Raw genomic sequence first — 15,790 nt, 5'->3', positions numbered from 1 at the left:
GATTCCGTGGGCGTAGGACCCTCCGAGCCAGGTGTGGGATATAGTCTCGTGGTGCGCCGTTTCTTAAGCCGGTCTGAAAAGCGCAATATTCGGGTGGGAGTGACCCGATTTTCCAGGTGCGACCGTCACCCCTTTCTTTGACTCGGAAAGGGAACTCCCTGACCCCTTGCGCTTCCCAGGTGAGGCAATGCCTCGCTCTGCTTCGGCTCGCGCACGGTGCGCACACACACTGGCCTGCGCCCACTGTCTGGCACTCCCTAGTGAGATGAACCCGGTACCTCAGATGGAAATGCAGAAATCACCGTCTTCTGCGTCGCTCACGCTGGGAGCTGTAGACCGGAGCTGTTCCTATTCGGCCATCTTGGCTCCTCCCCTCAACATTGCTGTTTTTTGTGAATTTCTTTTGGAAAGTTCTTTTGTTGTGCAACACCATAGAAATTGTGTACCTTTTTACTAAAGGGCTAGATCTTCTTGATTGTGCACCACACAGAACTAAAAGATTTATTGAACTCCTTACTTATTTAAGTATATGAGGATGCCTTTGTTAGTAGTGGGACTGGGATTGCCAGGCTCTAGAAAGATTTAGGGAGTCCAATGACTGATTGGTCATTGATTAGACCACAGATAAGGAAATTGGTCAAATAAAATTTATGACATCTTAAACATTTTCTGATTAATTAGGGTTTTCTAGTTAAACTATCATTAAAGAGAAAATCCACATTGATGCAATTCTTTCTTTTAAAAATATATGTTTATTTTCCTGCTGCAATAGTTAGTGTAAAGTGAACATGATTAAATTTTTGTTGTTTAGAATCTTATGTCGCCTCTCTCTTACCATTGTGAGCATCATTCTAACATTAGTAGTGTGGTTGTAGGTGAATCCACACTTGTGTTGAGATTTTTATTGATCCTCAAACATACACTGAAAGTTCCTTTTTTGGGCTAGACCTGTACTTTTCCTTCTCAACAGCTTCTTATTTAAGTCAAGGGAAAAAAATTACAATTTAAGCGCTGTCATTAAAACATAGAATATGAACTGTTTGACCTGGGAAGGATCTCAGGAATGATTCAGACTGTCTCCTTCACACAGCGTAGTATTTGCCTAAGAGCACTCAGCAGGTGAGTGCTTTAGCGGGTGCAGACCTATGAGGCCTCATTTAATGCTCTGTAGAAGAATTCCCCAATTCTTATTTTCACTATTACCTATGCAGAACTAAATCCAATTGCTACTAAATGCCATCATAAAACTCCATATGTGCTTGCCTGAACCTGAACCCTGATATTATTAACATACAGACTTCCACAGAGCATTACTAGGGAGTAACAAGTCGTGGAAAATGGTTAGAGAAACATATTACAGATATTTATGGGGGAGATGATCGTACTTGCAAGAAGCATTTCAAGCCTATTGCATTTTCTCAAGTGATTTATTTATAAGTTAGCTGTGACTGAAAATACTAATCTACCCATGTTTCTTTTCAGAGCATTTATTTTTTACTGACTGGAGACTGGGTGCCATTATTCGAGTCAGGAAAGCAGATGGTGGAGAAATGACAGTTATCCGAAGTGGCATTGCTTACATACTGCATTTGAAATCGTATGATGTCAACATCCAGACTGGTGAGTGAGATTGCCCAGTTTTTTTTATTTTTTTGTATGGGTTTATTTATTTGTTACAGTGGCTCCTGTTCTCTTTAAGTACTTATTACTTAAAGGTCTAGCTCCTGGTAGTTTTATATTCTTGTCGTTCACATAATCTAAGAGTGTAAGACTTGAAATCTCTGTTCAATGCTGCTAGCCTTAAACATGTTGTCAGGAAAAACACATTTTGGGACTTTTCCATACCTAAATGGAATGTTGTATTTGGCGGGTTGATTTCCAAGAGGAAGCTACTTTTTAGTATTGGGTCTGAAAAATGTTTTGTCCTGTTTGTTTTCCTTCACAAATCAAACCCGTGACCTACCTAGTGAAAATGTACATGACTGACTCCCTCGGGGCTTTGCTTTTGCAGGTTCTAACGCCTGTAATCAACCCACGCATCCTAACGGTGACTGCAGCCACTTCTGCTTCCCGGTGCCAAATTTCCAGCGAGTGTGTGGGTGCCCTTATGGAATGAGGCTGGCTTCCAATCACTTGACATGCGAGGGGGACCCAACCAATGAACCACCCACAGAGCAGTGTGGCTTATTTTCCTTCCCCTGTAAAAATGGCAGATGTGTGCCCAATTACTATCTCTGTGATGGAGTCGATGATTGTCATGATAACAGTGATGAGCAACTATGTGGCACACTTAGTAAGTAGCTATGCACTGGCGATATTTCCTGGGATGAATAGAGTAGAGGTGGGCTTTAAAGAAAATAAATAAAAGCTTGGGCTATTTATATGGGAAAAATATCTTTTAGAATTTCAGATTCTTAACATGCACTTTGAAGGCTTTTAGGAAGCTAAGCAAGAAATTTCATTCATAATGTTATGGATGGTTTCTGGCCTTGATTTAGACTATCTTCAACAATTTTTTTCCTTGACATTGGCTGTTTGGACCAATGCAGTCATTATGTCTTGGCAAACTCCTCAAAAAGTCAAATCGAAATAAACTAGATCTGACCAGGCAAGGTGGCTCATGCCTGTAATCGGAGGCCGAGACAGGAGGATTGCTTAAGTCCAGAAGTTTGAGACCAGCCTGGGAAACATGACGAAATCCGGTCTCTACAAAAAATATAAAATGGCACATGTATACATATGTAACTAACCTGCACATTGTGCACATGTACCCTAAAACTTAAAGTATAATAATAATAAATAAATAAAAAAGAAATAGATGAGCTCAGAAAAAAATATGTATATAAAATTACAAATAGCTGGGACTATTACAAAATACAAAATTACAAAATACAAAAAAAACAAAATTACAAGTAGCTAGGACTACAGGCACATGCCACCACACCCAGCTAATTTGTATTTTGTATTTTCACAAAATTTGTAAAATACAAAAATTTGTACTTGGGAGGCTGAGGTGGGAGAGTTGTTTGAGCTGGGGAGGTTGAGGCTGCAGTTAGCCAAGACTGTGCCGTGTACTTCAGCCTGTGCAACAGAGTGAAGCCCTGCCTCAAAAAAATAAGCAAACAAACAACAACAACAACAAAAACCAAAAATAAAGTAGACCTAACATTTAGCAACCGAGAGAATAGTATCACAGAATAACTACTTGCAATCATAGCCTTTGGAAAATCTCATGTGTTATATTCCTTTTCTCCCATGTTAGAGTAAAATAAATTAACAATGAAATGGTGGTCTTAACCTTTATATTCTTCTTTTGACGGTAATCTAGTCTATATAGTTTGGGGCCTAATAAACACTATTGCAGAAGGCAAAAGTATTACATTCAAATTAAAAAAAAGATAGAGGACAGTTGAAATCTCAGAAATCTCTATCAAGGTGAAGTTAATACTAATAATAACCTTTCTTTTGGAGAGAAAGAGGAGTGACAGATTTGCAAGAGTAAAGTGCTCACTTGTACATTTTTCTGAAATTTTTTAAATTTTCATCTTTTTGTGTATTATCTTCTTGTTTCTAAGAGCACAGCATTTTACCTTAATATTTTATCTATTTGCACTTTTCATATGACATATTTTCAAGCTTTCTATAGTCTGAATTTGAAATTGTGGTTGGAGGAAGTAACAGCTTGAAAGTTAAGGATGAGCTTTAGAGTGAATCCAACCAGAGCGTGAATCATAGGCAGGTTCCTAAATCTCTCAAAGACTCAATTTCCTTATCTGTAAAATGCAGACAATTATATGTACTTTATAGTATTCTTGTGAGGATTTAAAGAGAACTTATATGATGTGTGTGGGTGCATAACTTAGAAAAATGCCTTTTCTATGATAAATACCAAATAAATGCCAGCCAATAATGATGTTAGTGATGATGACATCACTTGATGAACATTTCTCCTTATTATATACAATGCCTCCATTAAAAAAGGTGAACTGAGCCTTTATAAGGCAAGAACTCATTTAAAAGGCTGTAAAAACAAATGTCTTCATGACCAGTTTGTTACTATTGTAGATAATACCTGTTCATCTTCGGCGTTCACCTGTGGCCATGGGGAGTGCATTCCTGCACACTGGCGCTGTGACAAACGCAACGACTGTGTGGATGGCAGTGATGAGCACAACTGCCCCACCCACGCACCTGCTTCCTGCCTTGACACCCAATACACCTGTGATAATCACCAGTGTATCTCAAAGAACTGGGTCTGTGACACAGACAATGATTGTGGGGATGGATCTGATGAAAAGAACTGCAGTAAGTTTTGAGCTGGTTTCCCTTGGTTGGTCAGCCTCGTAAATAGACTTCAACAACCAAATGGCCTTGCATTCTTTCCTCTAAGGCTCATGCAATTTTCATTGTCTCTTTAGTACTTCTATTCCACTTGTCAATCTCTGTGTCAATAGGTTACAAGAACAAAGGCACGTGCCTGCACATGGGATTCTTAGAGTCCACCTACAAATATTGAGTTCTATGGAAGCAAAGCAAGGACTGCCTCTGATGCCAAACATTTCAATTCAGATAGGAATTGAAAAAGTGAAAATCCCTCAGCTATCTATTTATATATTTAAAACAATACTAAAAGTCATATAGATATATCCAGACCTTTGGCTATTGATGTTTCTTTTTCATTTGGTACAAGCAAAAAGACATCAAAATAAAGAGGCACAGAAAATTTAAATTTCCTTTGATCTTATCCACCTGTTTTCCATCTTGCCAGTTCTGCTTTCCTTTAGCTTGTTGTTTTATTTCATGTCTTCAATAATAGTTTAAGATGGAGCAAAGTTCCCTGGGCTAAGTTCTAGTCCTGGTTGCCTGACTAGGCAAGTCACTATCATTTGGAATAGATGAGCTTTAAGATCCCTTCTAGCTTTCATACCCTATAAGTGTGTATTTAATATAATTTCATGTTGTGGGTGGGGCCAGCCACTGCATCCGACTCCAAGGCTATGGTCTTAACAGTAAGGTAGGACCCTGGTTTTTAGAATTGTTCTGTTCAGACTTTTAAATCCAGTTTTGGGGGTCTGTCTACACACTGTTGCTACTAGGCATGTGGGTCATGCTGGTTTTGTTGCCTGATTGGGCTCCATTGCTTGGCTTTGGTCTAGAGTCATGGACTTCATAGTATTCATGAAATGTAGTCCAAGTCCAAGCACATGATGCTCACTTTCTGAATGTGGTCTATTTTCCAAGGTGTAATCACAGTTTCTGACTCTGCCCTGTAATCTTTTTATTCTCAATTCTAAAACCTATCCTAGTTTTGAGTTCTTTTGCTTAGCTGACTTTGATAGTGTGGCTGATTCAAAAGAATTTTGAACCCATGTACAATTGAGATAACTTCTGTAGCTATTTAGCCATTTTTAGTTTGGCTCTGGTACTTGTTGCACAGGAAATAAACTTGTTGGTTTTGTTTTCGGATGACATTAGATTCGACAGAGACATGCCAACCTAGTCAGTTTAATTGCCCCAATCATCGATGTATTGACCTATCGTTTGTCTGTGATGGTGACAAGGATTGTGTTGATGGATCTGATGAGGTTGGTTGTGGTAAGTGCATTGCCTTCTTTTTTATTCACAATGTTTATTTAGAAAAATCTCAGTGTTAACACATGGACACAGGGAGGGGAACATCACACACCGGGGCCTGTTGGGGGGTGGGGAGCTAGAGAAGGGATGGCATTAGGAGAAATACCTAATGTAGATGATGGGTTGATGGGTGCAGCAAACCACCATGGCACGTGTATACCTATGTAACAAACCTGCATGTTCTGCATATGTACTCCAGAACTTAAAGTATAACAACAAAAAAGAAAAATCTCAGTGTTTAGTCATTTTAGCCCTGAGCTAATTTCTAATGCTTTTCTCTTTCATTCTTAGTATTAAACTGTACTGCTTCTCAATTCAAGTGTGCCAGTGGGGATAAATGTATTGGCGTCACAAATCGTTGTGATGGTGTTTTTGATTGCAGTGACAACTCGGATGAAGCAGGCTGTCGTAAGTAACACATACCCAGAATGTTTCAGACAAAGGGGTCATTTCATTTTTGCCAGTATTGATATTGATATTGCCACACATTTTCCCTAACTCAGACAAACTGGGGGAAAGTATCCTCAAAGGAATGTGGTATTGAACATACAGTAAAATTGAGTAGACATTGCCATATAATGTGTAATTAACAAATCAAGTGGTTGTATAAATGGACACTTCAAATAGTCTCTTAGATGGGCTAAATATTTCTTAGATATTTTTGTTTTCACTTTTAGTTTTTCTTAGGACTTCCCACTTTAGTAGGTTTAAACTTTTGAGGCTCTACTCCATATAAAGATATTTTACTGGTTTCTTTTAAGTTTCAGTAGAGAAGTCATATCATGGTGTAGAAATGGTATGGAGCTGTGTTTAGTATTGACTCTGATGAATTCATTCTTTGTGCTATTATGTGTTGAATATCTGCTAAGATGTTATCTATGGAGATTATAGAAGGCAAGAGACAATTAAGCAAGATAGACAGTTACAAGGGTCTTAGAAATGGCACAGATAAAATTCTATGGAGGTTCAGAGAAAAGAAATTTCTTCTAGTTGGAGGATTCAAGTAGGACTTCATACAGTATAATTCTGATGGATCTATAATCTTCACAGACTGGAAACCTATACTCACATGATTTGTTATTTGCCCACTTTTTGTTTTAAATGGATTTTAGACTTGCAAAAACTCATCAGTGAGTTGATCATTTGTTTGAACAATGGTGTTTTAGACCAAAAAAGTAAGTTTTCATGAATTCTCCTCCTGCGTCAGAAAGGTAGTGTGTAAAGCCATGGATTAAAAAGAAAAGTTAAATAAAATGCTTATATACTTTATAGTTTGCACAACATCTAGAAATTACTAATCACTAATTTTCCTGTTTCACATTAAAAACATAAAATTCTGTGATGAGCTGAGGTTAAACTGTCAATTGCCGCTGGCTTGCTGTTGCCTTGTGAGATCCCTGGTAGAGAGTTTTGGTTTACCCTTGTCAAATAGGGAAGCAGTTCTTACGTATCTCTCCAGGATTGCTTGATGAATAGTGGAAAGTTTGCAAAGAACTGAGTATTTACCATCATCTTTAGTTAGTGTGTGATGGTTTCATTAGGTATAGTTCATCTGAGGGAAAATAATAACACCCAAACATGATATGAAACACATGAAGTTCAAAGTAATCATAGCTATTTAAGCTCTATTGTAATGTTCTGGTGATTCTTTCATAGAAAGATAGATAAACTTTATTATTGAATCTGCAATTGGAAGTACATTAAAAACACAGGAAAAGGAAACAGGATGTTCTTTTGACACAGGTACTCATCTGCTAGTCAGCAGTTGTGCGTTCTGTACTTCGTTTGTTGTCAGAGCCACTAGCTGCCACAAAGAAATATTTCTATGTACTAGAGTGTGGGAGAAGACTCTATATCATTTAGCCTTAAATATTAATTTGGTCATAGTTGTTACTATAAACCTACTATTGGATCCAAAATCATTTCCTCTGAGTCTAGACTATAAAAGGGATCACAAATTACATTCACAAGCCGATTTACCCCATGTTTTCCTTCTAGCAACCAGGCCTCCTGGTATGTGCCACTCAGATGAATTTCAGTGCCAAGAAGATGGTATCTGCATCCCGAACTTCTGGGAATGTGATGGGCATCCAGACTGCCTCTATGGATCTGATGAGCACAATGCCTGTGTCCCCAAGACTTGCCCTTCATCATATTTCCACTGTGACAACGGAAACTGCATCCACAGGGCATGGCTCTGTGATCGGGACAATGACTGCGGGGATATGAGTGATGAGAAGGACTGCCCTACTCAGCCCTTTCGCTGTCCTAGTTGGCAATGGCAGTGTCTTGGCCATAACATCTGTGTGAATCTGAGTGTAGTGTGTGATGGCATCTTTGACTGCCCCAATGGGACAGATGAGTCCCCACTTTGCAGTAAGTTTCCTGACCACAGTTTACTGGCCATAAACTCATTCTGAACAGTAGCCTGGTGTGCATCACCATTGTCACAGTCACTGTGTAGCTTTGTAGGAAGGATTTCAGTTCCTCTATGAGTTCACATCTGTGTAGGGGGTAACCATAATTGAATTCAAATACATCACCATTGGATAATTTTCTGATTAAATCCTTTGTACTTGGTTATGTGTTTTTACTTCTTTTTATGTCTTTGTTTCAAAAAATGAGACTAAATTGAGGCCATTAGATTGTCAAATTAAATTTGGTTCTGTTGGTAATGTGCTCATTAATTTTTCTAACTTTAATATTTTCTAATTTCAATCAGAACTTATCACAAAAAAATGAAGTCCAGGGATTTGTGTTGCTGTGATTAAAGTGCTGTGATTGGCATGTAATCCTAATTACTGTCATTTCTTTCTTTCCTCTTTAATCAATGCTCACTCTCAGATGAACCCCAGCCAGGTATGATTGTGAAGTATTTCAGATTCTTATGATTTCATATGTGTTGTGTTTGTTCTGAAAATGTCCTGATTATATTAACTTACTTCCCTTTCTAACGCATGTTCTGTGTTATGACTCTTACAAATATGTTAGAGTACACATGGAAATAGAAGGCATTTGCATCCCCAGGCATGTGAACTGTCTTAGGGTGGCTTTAGGCATTTTCATTTTGGCCCTGAAAGTAAGGCATGACGATATGTTACCGGATCTGTGTACTCTAATATTTCAATGACCTTTCCCCTTTGATTTGTTCACTTCATAGATTTTCTGGTCTTTTCTCTTAAATGTTTGTCTATCTTCCATTTCTGTATAGATAGTAGAATTTCAGAGGAAGAAAACGAGAAACAATTTTAAGTGTCTTTGCATGCTCTATCAATGACACTTTTCTTCCTTGATGTCAACAATATTTTCCCAAGGGTTCTCATTGCATTAAATGGAGTTATACTATTGGGTTGTAGTGAAGAAGGTGATCATACTCCAATGGATATGAAGGATGGTAAATCCTCAGACAAATTAGAGCAAACCCTGAACAGCCTGTGGAACTCACCCAAGTGCATGCTGCACTTAGCTCTTGTCTGGGCATCATATTGAAGGTGGCATGAGACTGCATAATAAATATTGCATAAGAGTGAATCAAAGAAGCAAAGATTCTTGATTTTCTTTTTTCATTATTCTCTTTCTTTTTTCTAGATGGGAACAGCTGCTCAGATTTCAATGGTGGTTGTACTCACGAGTGTGTTCAAGAGCCCTTTGGGGCTAAATGCCTATGTCCATTGGGATTCTTACTTGCCAATGATTCTAAGACCTGTGAAGACATAGATGAATGTGATATTCTAGGCTCTTGTAGCCAGCACTGTTACAATATGAGAGGTTCTTTCCGGTGCTCGTGTGATACAGGCTACATGTTAGAAAGTGATGGGAGGACTTGCAAAGTTACAGGTAATTGCTGAACTAACCCGAGCCAGTTTATCAGCACATCCCAGAGCTTAAAATCAAATGGCACATGTAGGTATTTGACAATGTTGATTAGGAGTTAGATCGACTTGAATCCTGGAAAGATTATGCAATCTCTTTAAACCTCAATTTTTTGTGAGGATTAAATGGGGTAATACACATTAAAATCCTGGTGTATTTTGGAAAATAGAGGTTAAAACATATACAAGTCAATGATTTTTAAAGTATTTAAAATAATACCAAATGGCTTTTATATAATTTAAAATGAGTTCTATACTATATTTAAGCATCTTTATATAATGCTTAATTGAATTCAACCAGTATTAATTCAATTTCTGCTATAAGAAAGTGCTTTTTACTATGTATTAGGATATTGATTTGACCACTTTCAAAGTGACCAAATAGAGGAAGCTAAAACAAAAACAGAAAGTTTCTTTCTTTTACATGTAGTAGGAGTCTGGATGTCAGAGAGTCCAGGGCATGGGGTCTGCTCTGTTATCCTCATCATGTGGCTTACATCAAGGGTTCCAATGCTCCAGGTTTTAGCTTCTCTTAGAAAGTAGGAAGGGGAAAGAGAAAGTGGAGGGCAAGCAGCTTCCTTTTTAGAATGTGACCTGAGATTTGATTCGTAATTTCTACTCACATCCTATTGGTCAGAACTTAGTCATGTGGTCACTCCAAACTTCAGTGGAGGGAGAGAAATGTCTCTGGCTGGAGAGTCTGTGCCAAGCTAAAACTTGGCATGCTTTATTACTAAAAAGAAAAAGAAGAGAGGGGGTGTTGGGAGAATTAGAACTCTCTACCATAGCTGAGGGCCTCAGAAAACAGAAATATTTAAGACATGATTCCTGCTGTCCAGAAGCCTACAACCTATTAAATAGTAAGGAAGATAACCAAAGTACAAAAATAAATACAGTAAAAGGAAGAATGTAAGCATAGTTTACTCTAGACTAGTATTTAGAAACACAGTTAAATATAACCCAAGAAAGAGTCTATTTTAAGTACTCATGAAAACCAGCTAACTATTAAGGTTAAGAATGAAGTGATTAAAATCATTCATATGGGGCTTCCTCCCCTCCCCACCAACTTACTATAGTTTGGAATTACACCTTCTTTCTGTTACCAAAAGTATTGAATCAAAAGTTTTAAAGAGTTGTTTTGTGTTTTCTCCCAGTATCATTGACATTTTTGCATTTTTTTCTTGAACAGCATCTGAGAGTCTGCTGTTACTTGTGGCAAGTCAGAACAAAATTATTGCCGACAGTGTCACCTCCCAGGTCCACAATATCTATTCATTGGTCGAGAATGGTTCTTACATTGTAGCTGTTGATTTTGATTCAATTAGTGGTCGTATCTTTTGGTCTGATGCAACTCAGGGTAAAACCTGGAGTGCGTTTCAAAATGGAACGGACAGAAGAGTGGTAAGTACATTTCTGTTGACCTTTGGCCTGGCTAGTTCCTCTGTCTTGGGTCTGTTTGCTGTTATTCACCAGTGAGAGAAGGCCCTACCTCATCTGGGTAGCTCTCATGGTACCTTCTGGGCCACATCATACCCAAGAGACTTGCGTGTTCATAACTACGAATTTATGGCTGTTTTAGATAGGAGGGTGGCCTCTGAATGCAGATGTGTGATTCTGAATTCCAGGTCAGGTGATGCAGAGACCTCACAATGTCTTTACGGTTCCTTTTGCAGTCTTTTCTTGTGGATGAGAGCAGAGGAAAGTGCAGGAAAGTTAAGGGGTTGCTTTTCTTAGCTTTAATTTAGTGATATTTCTCAATCCATCTCCCAGAATTTCAGTTTCTTGGCTCCTGATAGTTACATTTCCTCTGCCTCTTACAACTTTATTTTGTAATTCTTGGTCCTTAATTAATAGAGATATTATTCGTTGCATGCAAACACTATAACATTTTGTAATGTTGCCAACTAAGCAAATGGATAGAGCTTTTTCTTAATTGCAAAAACTTTTGAAACCAAAACGAAACTATGCACTAACCAAACAATGAAGTCATCTTAGAATGTTCAGTGTGACAAAATCTTGTATACTTTTCTCAGAAAACCCTGCTGTTGATTTGGTGGTTAGCTACATGAGGAGACAAAATTTTCTAATCCCCACAAGTAATTATAGGACAAGTTAGATGGTTTAATCTAGATTTTTATATAATATCCATGTTTGCATTCATTTATTTGCTCTAGAATTCACTCTTTATTCACTTTTGTCTTTAGGTATTTGACAGTAGCATCATCTTGACTGAAACTATTGCAATAGATTGGGTAGGTCGTAATCTTTACTGGACAGACTATGCTCTGGAAACAATTGAAGTCTCCAAAATTGATGGGAGCCACAGGACTGTGCTGATTAGTAAAAACCTAACAAATCCAAGAGGACTAGCATTAGATCCCAGAATGAAGTAAGACTTTTTTTTAAAATTATGTTGCCTTGACATGGTTATGATGAGGGAAAAACAACAGTAACATGATGTAGCTGATATGCATGTTGCTGATATGCAAAATTTAAAATGATCCCTTGTTTAAACATGGTAGGTGTCCAACTGGGTGTTGCTATCTCTCCTTCATCTGAATCATCCTCTTCATAAAGTACATAAGAGCAATTGATTGTTTACTTTATTTTAAGAGCACATTGATTTATTAGCTTGGCAATACAATTTTTGAAATGTCATATAATTAAAAATTAAGTTTCTAATTACTGCATGCAGTAATAGTCCATAGAGGGGCCAGTTTGATGTAACTTTGATAACTCATGATTATACAACAAAAAAGCTGGATTTTTCTGCTTCAGTTTTATGTTGTTTATTAGAGCTCCCTTTTAAGTCATATAAGGAAGGCAGTTTTTGCCTGCTGATCCTGAAGGGAAGATAGAGAAATTCTCCCATGTGTTTGGAAATCTTTGAGGATTTCTTTCCCTGAATTTACTTATATTTTATAACTTAGATTCTTTTCTGCAGGATGGTAAATTAGGCAAGTTATGTTCAATGTGATGTTGAATTCCTAGATATTGTAAAGTATTACACACCACTGAAATTTATGATGAATTCCTGATGAAGAATAAATTGATTTCCTTATCTAAAAACATGACAGGGTAGACAAACAAGGACAGATGGATTTTTCTAGATCAACTATTTGTGGATTATAAACAAACATGAATTGGCATTGAGACATTTCAATGTCATAATGTACTACATTATGACATTATGTATTACATGTTTTATGAACATTATAAAAATACCCAGATGGGTTGTGATTGTGTTATGACAGTTTTACTTTGTGACACTTAGAGGAAACAATAAACTCTGTGAATATATTCTGAACCAGAGATGATTTATTTTAAGCAGGGCATAAACAGGATGTTGTATTATTTAAAATGACAGTTATTTTTAATATTTAAATACGTCCCCTCCAATTGGTAACTCATTTCCTTTCCCAGTGAGCATCTACTGTTCTGGTCTGACTGGGGCCACCACCCTCGCATCGAGCGAGCCAGCATGGACGGCAGCATGCGCACTGTCATTGTCCAGGACAAGATCTTCTGGCCCTGCGGCTTAACTATTGACTACCCCAACAGACTGCTCTACTTCATGGACTCCTATCTTGATTACATGGACTTTTGTGATTATAATGGACACCATCGGAGACAGGTGATAGCCAGTGATTTGGTAAGTTGGTGGTGAGGAAAACCAAATTAAAACTACAGTCGTGGATAGGTAGAAATCAGACGAGTATCAGAAAAGCTAAGAAATTAATTTTTGTGTCATAGACATTGTCAGATCAATCCAGGAAATACCAGCAACAGTGAGAGGCAGTCTATCCCATATGACTAACTGGAAAATGAATATTTTCATTCCAGTTCATGGTCAGCTTGTGCCATATCCAGGAAGGATTTTTATAGCTCGTGTGATTTAGTTGAGCTGCAGATGTGAATCTGTTGCTTCTATACCTTTAAAAATTGTGTCAGGTGGCCGGGCGCGGTGGCTCACGCCTGTGATCCCAGCACTTTGGGAGGCCGAGGTGGGTGGATCATCTGAGGTCAGGAGTTTGAGACCAGCCTGGCCAACATGGTGAAACCTCATCTCTACTAAAAACACAAAAATTAGCCAGTGTGGTAGCACACACCTATAGTCTCAGCTATTCGGGAAGCTGAGACAGGAAAATTGCTTGAACCCGGGAAGCAGAGGTTGCAGTGAGCTGAGATTGCCTCACTGCACTCCAGCCTAGGTGACAGAGTGAGACTCCATCTCAAAAAAAAAAAAAATTTTTTTCAAGCAAAAATTTATAACTTAACTTGGCCAGGCACATTGTCTCACATCTGTAATCCTAGCACTTTGGGAGGCTGAGGTTGGTGGATCGCTTGAGCCCAGGAGTTCAAGACCAGCCTGGGTAACATGGCAAAACCCCATTTCTACAAAAAAATACAAAAATTAGCTGGGCATGGGGGTGTTTGCCTATAGTCCCAACTACTTGGGAGGCTGAGGTGGGAGGATTGCCTGAACCCAGGGAGGTCAAGGCTGTAGTGAGCTGTGATTGTGCCACTGCACTCCAGCCTGGGTGACAAAGTGAGACCCTGTTTTCAAAAAAAAAAAAAACAAAAATTAACTAGATTTATATTTCTCAGTCTTGTTCTTCACATAACATTTTTTATTCTATAAATTCTGTTGAATTTATTTTCACAAGTTAAATGGGAAAATAAAGAAAATAGATATTTTATCAAAGAGCTGTTATTGACCCCCATTAAAAATAGGAATGCTTTTACACTGTTGGTGGGAGTGTAAATTAGTTCAACCATTGTGGAAGATAGTGTGGCAATTCCTCAGGGATCTAGAACCAGAAATACCATTTGACCCAGCAATCCCATTACTGGGTATATACCCAAAGGAATATAAATCATTCTACTATAAAGACACATGCACTCATATGTTATTGCAGCACTATTTACAATAGCAAAGACTTGGAACTAACACAAATGCCCATTAATGATAGACATATACATCATGGACTACTATGCAGCCATAAAAAAGAATGAGTTCATGTCCTTTGCAGGGATATGGATGAAGCTGGAAACCATCATTTTCAGCAAACTAACACAAGAACAGAAAACCAAACACTTCATGTTGTCACTCATAAGTGAGAGTTGAACAATGAGAACACATGGACACAGGGAGGGGAACATCACACACCGGGGCCTGTCAGTGGGTGGGGGCAAGGGGAGGGAGAGCATTAGGACAAATATCTAATGCATGTGAGGGTTAAAACCTAGATGATGGGTTGATGGGTGCAGCAAACCACCATGGCACATGTATACCTATGTAACAAACCTGCACGTTCTGCACATGTATCCCAGAACTTAAAGTAAAATAAAAAATAAAAAATTAAAAACAATTTAAAAAAGAGAAAAAATTGCTATTGTATAGTTGCTGTGACTTGAAGGAAAGATGCATCTAAACTATAACAGATTGATGTGAATCAGTGAGTGGCAGCACAAGACCGTGGAAATAGCCGGCACAAGTGTGCTGATGGTGGAGTGAAGGCTGGGGCGTGGGAGTGGGAGATGAGGAGTCTCTAAGCTCTCTAGTTCCATCTAACTTTTAACTAGTAGGTGATCCGGATACATCACCTTGCTTTTTGTGCTTCAGTTTTGTTTTCATTTGTAAAATAGATGCCCAGTGTAATTACCAAGGCAAACATAAAGAGTAAATGGCACGTGTATGTGAAAGGCTCTTGAATGGTTTAGTGGGATATAGGACGAATTGTGTATTTTTTGCCGCTCTTTTGCACAATGACTTCCTTGTGTTTTTATTAAATAATGACATGTTAAAGGAAACCGTCTTCTTGAGCAGATATCCTCTTTGACTCAGTGCACCTTGGCTTTGATTTTTGGATGAGGTCTCACTGTTCTCTTCTGCCTCACAGATTATACGGCACCCCTATGCCCTAACTCTCTTTGAAGACTCTGTGTACTGGACTGACCGTGCTACTCGTCGGGTTATGCGAGCCAACAAGTGGCATGGAGGGAACCAGTCAGTTGTAATGTATAATATTCAATGGCCCCTTGGGATTGTTGCGGTTCATCCTTCGAAACAACCAAATTGTGAGTGATACAGAGAAACATCCTGCCTGGGAGTAGCTTGAAAAACACTGACCCTGGGAATGCTAAATGCACACTGTTACAGACCCATTTGTTTGGACAATACATTTTCCTTTTCTCTTTACAAACCACCCCACTATATACTTTCCCTAGTCCTGACATTGCCATTACTTTTATTTACCATGGAAATTTCAAACCTAGGATAT

At 38.3% G+C, this 15,790-nt stretch overlaps 1 protein-coding gene across 4 annotated transcripts in view; it reads left to right on the top strand.

Moving 5' to 3' along the window:
* The window catches only part of LRP2 (LDL receptor related protein 2), a 235,426-nt gene that overhangs the window by 113,537 nt on the left and 106,099 nt on the right, over positions 1 to 15,790 (top strand). For all 4 annotated transcript variants that reach the window (XM_011511183.4, NM_004525.3, XM_047444340.1 and 1 more), the window contains 11 exons: positions 1,483 to 1,620; positions 2,012 to 2,293; positions 4,066 to 4,305; positions 5,476 to 5,595; positions 5,926 to 6,042; positions 7,633 to 8,010; positions 9,223 to 9,471; positions 10,696 to 10,907; positions 11,711 to 11,895; positions 12,930 to 13,158; positions 15,410 to 15,587. In XM_011511183.4, the coding sequence (XP_011509485.1) occupies positions 1,483 to 1,620; positions 2,012 to 2,293; positions 4,066 to 4,305; positions 5,476 to 5,595; positions 5,926 to 6,042; positions 7,633 to 8,010; positions 9,223 to 9,471; positions 10,696 to 10,907; positions 11,711 to 11,895; positions 12,930 to 13,158; positions 15,410 to 15,587 (2,328 nt within the window). The remainder of the gene's footprint in view (positions 1 to 1,482; positions 1,621 to 2,011; positions 2,294 to 4,065; positions 4,306 to 5,475; positions 5,596 to 5,925; positions 6,043 to 7,632; positions 8,011 to 9,222; positions 9,472 to 10,695; positions 10,908 to 11,710; positions 11,896 to 12,929; positions 13,159 to 15,409; positions 15,588 to 15,790) is intronic.

Source organism: Homo sapiens, chromosome 2 (genome assembly GCF_000001405.40).
Source record: "Homo sapiens chromosome 2, GRCh38.p14 Primary Assembly".
Taxonomy (NCBI): domain Eukaryota; kingdom Metazoa; phylum Chordata; class Mammalia; order Primates; family Hominidae; genus Homo; species Homo sapiens.
Note: the sequence above shows the minus strand (reverse complement) of the source record. Positions and strands in the feature narration are given on the sequence as shown.